We start from the raw sequence: 8,444 nt of genomic DNA, 5'->3' as shown, positions 1-8,444 counted from the left end.
CAACTCATCCTGTCCTGTCCGGGGCCCACAAATCCCCGGTGAATACCGGCGAGCTAGTGGAGTAAAGCATGAGAAGGCTTATCTTCCTTTCACTCCTACATTTTTCACTCTCGGATCTCCAGCCCAGGACTGAAGGATGTAGCGCGCAGCCCGCAGCTCGCTGCTCGTCGGAGGGTTTTCCTCTGAGGACTGGAAATGGGGCGCGGGAAGAGGGCGGGGGGCGGCGGGCTGTCACTTACAAAGAAATCTCACTCCACTCCATAAAATCCTCAAGCCAGTGCCGGATTTCCCGGCAAGCGGACGTCTCCCCTCCCACGGACCGGAAATCCCGCCTCCGCTGGAAGAAGAAGCGGAAGCGAGACCGTCCATCCAGAGGAAGGCAAGTTTTTGGCTCGGGCGGCTGAGAAGACCGCGCGGGGCTGGAGACAGGTAGCAGTACGGGGGCGGGGCTTCATGCCGGATGTGATAGTCTGCAGTCGTTTCGGTTGGCAGCCTGGCGGGTGGGAGATGCGGCGGCCACCTGCTGCAAAGAACCGAAGGGAAGGTTAGAAGTACGAAGGCAGTTTGGAGCTGGGGCTAAGCAGCTGTCGCACGGTCAGATCATGGGCTCCACCAAGCACTGGGGCGAATGGCTCCTGAACTTGAAGGTGGCTCCAGCCGGCGTCTTTGGTGTGGCCTTTCTAGCCAGAGTCGCCCTGGTTTTCTATGGCGTCTTCCAGGACCGGACCCTGCACGTGAGGTATACGGACATCGACTACCAGGTCTTCACCGACGCCGCGCGCTTCGTCACGGAGGGGCGCTCGCCTTACCTGAGAGCCACGTACCGTTACACCCCGCTGCTGGGTTGGCTCCTCACTCCCAACATCTACCTCAGCGAGCTCTTTGGAAAGTTTCTCTTCATCAGCTGCGACCTCCTCACCGCTTTCCTCTTATACCGCCTGCTGCTGCTGAAGGGGCTGGGGCGCCGCCAGGCTTGTGGCTACTGTGTCTTTTGGCTTCTTAACCCCCTGCCTATGGCAGTATCCAGCCGCGGTAATGCGGACTCTATTGTCGCCTCCCTGGTCCTGATGGTCCTCTACTTGATAAAGAAAAGACTCGTCGCGTGTGCAGCTGTATTCTATGGTTTCGCGGTGCATATGAAGATATATCCAGTGACTTACATCCTTCCCATAACCCTCCACCTGCTTCCAGATCGCGACAATGACAAAAGCCTCCGTCAATTCCGGTACACTTTCCAGGCTTGTTTGTACGAGCTCCTGAAAAGGCTGTGTAATCGGGCTGTGCTGCTGTTTGTAGCAGTTGCTGGACTCACGTTTTTTGCCCTGAGCTTTGGTTTTTACTATGAGTACGGCTGGGAATTTTTGGAACACACCTACTTTTATCACCTGACTAGGCGGGATATCCGTCACAACTTTTCTCCGTACTTCTACATGCTGTATTTGACTGCAGAGAGCAAGTGGAGTTTTTCCCTGGGAATTGCTGCATTCCTGCCACAGCTCATCTTGCTTTCAGCTGTGTCTTTCGCCTATTACAGAGACCTCGTTTTTTGTTGTTTTCTTCATACGTCCATTTTTGTGACTTTTAACAAAGTCTGCACCTCCCAGTACTTTCTTTGGTACCTCTGCTTACTGCCTCTTGTGATGCCACTAGTCAGAATGCCTTGGAAAAGAGCTGTAGTTCTCCTAATGTTATGGTTTATAGGGCAGGCCATGTGGCTGGCTCCTGCCTATGTTCTAGAGTTTCAAGGAAAGAACACCTTTCTGTTTATTTGGTTAGCTGGTTTGTTCTTTCTTCTTATCAATTGTTCCATCCTGATTCAAATTATTTCCCATTACAAAGAAGAACCCCTGACAGAGAGAATCAAATATGACTAGTGTATGTTCCACACCCTCTGCTACTGTGTTACATTCTGATTGTCTTGTATGGACCAGAAGAGAGCTTTGGGACATTTTTTCTGAACATTCTAAGCATTCTAGTGAAAGTTCCCATGTTCCAACAGAACTTAAAAGCAATGTTTGCCTTATATATAAAAGGGACACAATAATTGAGGTCCACCTTCTAGGAAATCCTAGGACTCGTTTATTTGGGACATGGTGGGAATAAAGGTCACATATTGGAAAATGGAAAGGCTGATGAAACTATCAGATACTAAAACATTCTTAAAATAGAGGAATATAGTTAGAGACATCAGGTTTAAGCCAGTATTTGTTCCTGTTTTACAATGCTTCTGTCTTAAGCTGTGTCTTAACTTTTAACACCCATCTTTTCTTTCTAAAGCTTTCCTGACAGCTGTGAAAATCCAAAAAATATTCTTAAACTGTGTATGGTGGCCCTTGCCTGTAGTCTCAGCACTTTGGGAGGCTGAGGTGGGAGGGTCGCTTGAGTTCAGGAGTTCTAGACCCACCTGGGGCAAGATGGTGAGACCTAGTCTCAAAAAAAAAAAAAAAAATTAGCCAGGTGTTGTGGTGCACCCCTGTAGTCATAGCTGCATGGGAGGCTGAGGTGGGAGAATTGCTTGAGCCCAGAGCAAGACCCTGTCTCAAAAAAAAAAAAAAAAAAAAAAAGGAAAGGACAACTTTTTAGATAGAAAAGTATTAAATAATACTAAGATGCTTAGTAGTATTATTTTAGAGAGTTTTAAACTTCTATATTAAATGTGGGGTCTTACAAGATAATCCAAAGACTTTGGGAGGCCAAGGCGGGCAGATCACGAGGTCAGGAGATTGAGACCATCCTGGCTAACACGGTGAAACCCCTCTCTACTAAAAATACAAAAAATTAGCCGGGCGTGGTGGGTGCCTGTAGTCCCAGCTACTCCTCGGGAGGCTGAGGCAGGAGAATGGCGTGAACTCCGGAGGTGGAGCCTGTAGTGAGCCGAGATGGCACCACTGCGCTCCAGCCTGGGCGACAGAGCAAGACTCCATATCAAAAAAAAAAAAAAAAAAAGATAATCCAAAGAATTTAAATTGTAATCATGTTTCATGTATTTGTTTTATTACTTACTTTTATAGCACTTAGTCCCAGTGGTATTAGACTGCTATTTGGTTTCATACAAAAAGGATTAAATTTAAATTCATTCATGTTTAGACTTGAGTTATTACATTTTTAAAACTATCATCTTGCCTTTAATGTTTGTGGTCCTACACAAACTATTAGTACATTTCAGTATCCTCTTACCCCTTTGTTTTTAAGTTTTTGATTGCTAAAGCAAGACTTTTTTCTTCTAGAATTTAAGTCAACCAAGTGTTATCTATGTTGTAAAAATGGATAATAGTAGATTTTAGGTGATAAAACAACTTGTTAGTAAGACATTTCCTAGCTTAAAAAAAAAAATCAAAAATTCCATGATAGAAATGCAGACCTGTGAGGGAAACTCCTGAAAAGCATAAGAAGCATCCCAGAGAGCCATGGGTTTTCTAGACCAGAGAATTTAGAGGGAGATTGTGGAACTGAGGCTTAGGTGGTCAGATCGTTTCCCTTATCACTGTAATATTTCTGGGGGAAAAATGCTTTCTGAGTTGTTTAAACAAGCATCCTTACATTTTTTTTTTTAATTAAACAGCCTGTCTAGGCTTGGGATTCCCTAATACTACAGTAGCAGTATATGAATATGATTTTGTGATTGTGTTTTTTAAAAGATAAGTAATTTGATGAACTGTTCTTTTGCAGTCAGAAAACACTCACAAAAAGACAAAAAAAGTTCCACAGTATTATATTTCATGTCAGTTCAGGCCTAAAATCCTTTGCAAATAAGATGTTTATAGGCTGGTCACAATTAACAATGTTATTATTGGCAGCACTTCTTGGATGGATACCTTTTGGGACCTTTCATTAGAAAGAGGGAAAGAATGGGGTGGTTTTGTATGGGCTCCTGTTTGGGGTAAAAATAGCAGAGTCAGTTGCTGAGGACAATGACCTTCCTTATAACATTTAGTTTCATACCCATATTAGGTCTTGTCTTGAGGACCCTTTATATGTGCTTGTTTACTAGTGGCCTTCCAGCCATAGCATTCTTACCTTTTTTTCCTATTCTAAGAATTAAAAAAAAAAATTATAGAGCCAGCAAGGGAGGAGGCAGGAAACAGAAATCGAATTTCATCATTCCAGTATAGTTGTCCCTTTTTTTGTATTTCTGACTTGGTTTTATAATTATATTTACTTACTAATTATTGTTTTTTAACATTCTTTATTGTGGCTTACTCTTCATACTTAGAATTGAAATTGTTGGACATCACATGTATATTCACATTATAAATACATCATTCTTCCACTGTTAGACCTTTAGATTGCTTCCAGTTTTTAATATTCTAAATAAGACTTTCAACATTTTCTGTGTTTTAGCTCATTCTCTTAGGACATTCTTAGAAGTTAGAAACATTTCTGCTGGGATCGTTGGAGGGAACTTCAAACTTTGGAATCTTTCCTGCAAGAAATTCTTTACCAAAGAAAGGCAGGTGTTTCTTAAAGGGATGCAAAAGATATTTTGCACTTTGTATGTTCCAAAACATTTAGTAAGTTAACTAAAAAAATGAGTTAATTTGGTTTCTTGGGGGATTTTAATTTTTTAATTTGTTTTCTGGTTATGTAAAAAAAATGTTTTTTTTTTGCTTCTTATCACAATCCTTTTGTTTCCTTTTTAATCCTTTAATAACACCTTCAAATTTTATAAGACTTTGGCTTATTTCCTATATAATTCTTTTTTTCTTATACCACCTCTTAAGATTGATATGTTCATTTGCAGGTAAGCATTAATTATTAGATAAAGAGGGATGATTCTCAAGATTGTGTGTGTTCTGAACAGAGGGAACTACATGACATTTTCTTCTGTAATTGCCTTTGTAACGTCTTTAGAATGTGGTTCCTAAATATTCCTGGATAAATTCTCTTGATAGGCCCATTGGAAAGGCTAATACTCCCACCCAGTGCTTTGTTCCTTCCTGGCAAAAGAATTCCTAAAACCACTGATTTTAGTTACTGACTTCTCACCATCTGGACTCTTACAAGATGTTTCAGAAGTTGTGTAGAACTTGTCTTTCAGTTGACTTGTGGCTGAATTTACTGTTACTTCTCTAATATCAGTTGTTTTCTGCATTACCACCCTCTCCCCTAACCATCTGTACTATGAATGGAAAAGGAAAAAGATGGAAAAATTATACCTAGGATTGTCCCTAAATGCAACCTCTTGGTTCCCCCCACCCCTCATGTTTTATTATAAACGATTTTAAGAGCTGGGCATGGTGGTTCATGCCTATAATCCCAATGCTTTGGGAAGCTGAGGCAGGAGGATCACTTGAGGACAGGAGTTTGAGACCAGCCTGGACAACATAGTGAGACCCCCATCTGTACAAAAAAAAAAGTGCTACTTGGGAAGCTGAAGTGGGAGGACCACTTGAGCCCAGGAATTCGAGGAGGTTATAGTGAACTATGATTGTGCCACTGCACTCCAGCCTGGGTGACAGAGCAACACCTTGCCTCTAAAACAAACAGCTCCAACTATTTTATTTTTTTATTTTTCTGAGACAAGATGTTGCTTTGTCACCCAGGCTGGAGTGCAGTAGTATAAACATGGCTCACTGCAGCCGAACTCCCAGGCTCAAGTGATCCTTCCTCCTCAGCCTCCCAAGTAGCTGGGACCACAGGTATTTGCCACCATGCCTGGCTAATCTTTATTTTTTGTAGAGACGAGGTCTTGCTATGTTGCAAGAGGGAGATCACTTAAGTGATCTTCCCTCATTGGCTTCCCAAAGTGTTGGGATTCCAGGCGTGAGCCACTGCACCCCGCCTGACCTAACTATTTTAAACACTACTCATATTGCCATCATCTAAATTCAACAACAATTTGCCATATTTGCTTTATGTATATGTATAATTATATATTTATAAAATTTTTTGAACCATGTGAAGTTGCAAACATCATTGAACTTCACCACTAAATATATCAGCATGCATCTCCTAAAAATCAGGTATTTTCTTACAAAACCATAATTCTGCTATCTATTATGATTTAACATTCTGTCATTTTCAAATTTCTTCAGGTGTTTTTTGTTACATCTTAAAGAACAGACGTTCTTGGATCTCAAAGATTCCGAGGAAGGAAAGAACATGGTGGATAATCCATAATTAAGAAGTTTGAATCTTTTCCTAGTCTTAAAAACAAAGTGAGAACTAAAGGGGTTTACCTTCCATCAAAGTTGAACAAATTAATTCTTTTGTGTGTCATACTTTCTGTCTCTCTCCCTAAAAACATGGGGGTGGTAATCTCTTTGTTTTATCTGGTAGGTTTTCCAGATAAAAGATTATACAGGTTTGGAATCTTAATATCCAACCCCCAACTCCAAGCCCTGCCCCAACAACAACAGCTAATTATTTTACATCTTGATGATGGTAAATTTTTCATGATTAACCAATTTTGGGCACCTATTCCGCCATATATGGTTTTATTTAATTTTCACAGCAACACTTCAAAGTTGATATTCATATTCTAAATTTATAGATGAACGAAGAGGCTCAAAGATTAAACAACTTGCTAATAAGTGATTTTTACCCATGCTTTTTCCATTATATTATGTTTTGGATTTTTCCAGAGTACCCAAACCCAGCAGATGCATACTGCTCCAAAATAAATGGAACTCAATACTGGCTCTGTCAAGTGTCTCTTGCCAATCAATTGTCCTTCTAATCTTTTGAGGGGCAGTTCTCTCAGTTGTACCAAGTCACTGTCATCCCCAAACTTTTCAATGATTCCAGGCCTTTAACAACTCCCCTCCACCTCCAAACCCTCTCTCACCAAATTGTGTAATTTCTTTGTTTACTGCTGGCTTCATCATGCACTTTTCCTTCATAGCCTATTTTAAGAAGTTGATTTGCTGAACTGCTTTTTAGCCAAGCTATTTGTAAATCAAGCTACACAAAGTATGTGGCCATAATTTCCAAAAGGCAAATGATCATTGTTCAATTGCTGTTGCTCTGCAGTGTGCATTCATGCAGTTAAAAATTGTACTGCATTGATAGTACGGCATCAGAGAATAGATCACTTAGGTTCAAATCCCAGTGCATGATCCTGAGCAAGATTATCATATCTAGATACATTAGTTTTTATCTGTGAAATGGGAATGATAGCACAATCTTCATAGAATTGTTGGTAAGGATTAAGTGAGTTGATATGCTCAAAGTGTGCATGCTGGCATAGAACAAGTCACTGTTTACAAGCCTTTAAAGAAGGAGCTGTTCTGGCACTGTAAACTTGAACCTTTTTTCCCCAAATCTAATGGATATAGGCAAGGAAATTATATTTATATAAAATAAATGTTTGACTACCTTTGATCATAAACTTTATTCTCATCTTGACCTGTTCCTTTGAAAAGATAATAAATACTGATATGTGAAAAATGTATGGACAGATTATTCAGATGTCTGGTTGAGGCTTTACAGTTTTGTATATTTCTGTCAGACATTAAGCTGACTCTAAGCAGTGGAGGTTTGGTTTATGCCCCTAAATTACACAGCACTTCTTTTCTCCATTGTATCGAGGGGTCATTCAGGGGTTGCTGTTCTGGAGATGGAAGCACATGTCTCCTGCCTGGGTCAGAAGCGTCACAATAGCACAAGCATTTATTCAGCACTGGCCTAGGAGAACCATTCATTTAGTCAAAACAAGCATTTATATTCATTATCCTGAACAAAAACCAGACTAAATGAGAACATTTATAGCTGCTCAGGCACTCTGCTAATTGCTATGTCTGCTAGACAAAGTGAAATGACACTTACAGTGACTATTTAAAAATAATTTGGAGCATGAATATTTGAAGCTCAGTTCTTTTTACAAAGGAAATGTATAACCTTTGCTCTTCATTTTTTTTGGCAGTTATTTATAGATCCAGGCCCTGTGTCAAGTTCTGTAATAGATGAATAGACAGTTTATGCTCTTGGAGAGTTAACAGTAAAAACAGAAACAGAAACATACCCCACTGATAAAGTGTTATATAACACCCCATTAAGTTCCACAATGATGTGATTTGTGAAATGGAGGGGCAGTAGGGCAAGGTAGAGGATATTTTTATTTGTATGTTACAGATAAGAAAACTGAACTCAGAAACAAGTGACTTTCCAAGGCCAAATAGCTGGTTAATGGCAGGATTGGGGTGGGACCCCAGATCTTCTGATTCTAATCTTTTTTTTTTGCAAGTCCTTTTTAGTGCTATACAATGACAGGTGATTACAGTGGAAAACCTCACTTATTTAGCAAATGTCATTCACTTAGCAAACTACTTAGCAAAATGCCATGAGTATCTTCTGTGTGCCAGTCATTGTTCTAGGCATCGTAGATGCAGTGAGTGAGAGAGGGAGGCAAAGACCCTATCTTTATGGATCTTACATTTTCATGGGGAGGCAAAGAATAAGCAAGTACAGGATTGTGATGATGATATATCATAAAGAAAAATAAG

General features: G+C 40.4%; 1 protein-coding gene across 1 annotated transcript; it reads left to right on the top strand.

Annotated features, from left to right (window-relative positions):
• PIGM (phosphatidylinositol glycan anchor biosynthesis class M) lies at positions 352 to 7,389 on the top strand. Its single transcript, NM_145167.3, has one exon. The coding sequence runs from the start codon at positions 603 to 605 to the stop codon at positions 1,872 to 1,874; it is 1,272 nt and encodes a 423-aa protein (NP_660150.1). The 5' UTR covers positions 352 to 602; the 3' UTR covers positions 1,875 to 7,389.
• Positions 7,390 to 8,444: the final 1,055 nt, after the last annotated feature.

The sequence above is a fragment of the Homo sapiens genome, chromosome 1, assembly GCF_000001405.40.
Source record: "Homo sapiens chromosome 1, GRCh38.p14 Primary Assembly".
NCBI lineage: Eukaryota > Metazoa > Chordata > Mammalia > Primates > Hominidae > Homo > Homo sapiens.
This window is presented reverse-complemented; position numbering and strand designations above follow the sequence as displayed.

Bases quoted from the DNA above. Each gene is read 5' to 3' on its own strand.
- PIGM (NM_145167.3), top strand. From the start codon at position 603: ATGGGCTCCACCAAGCACTGGGGCGAATGGCTCCTGAACTTGAAGGTG.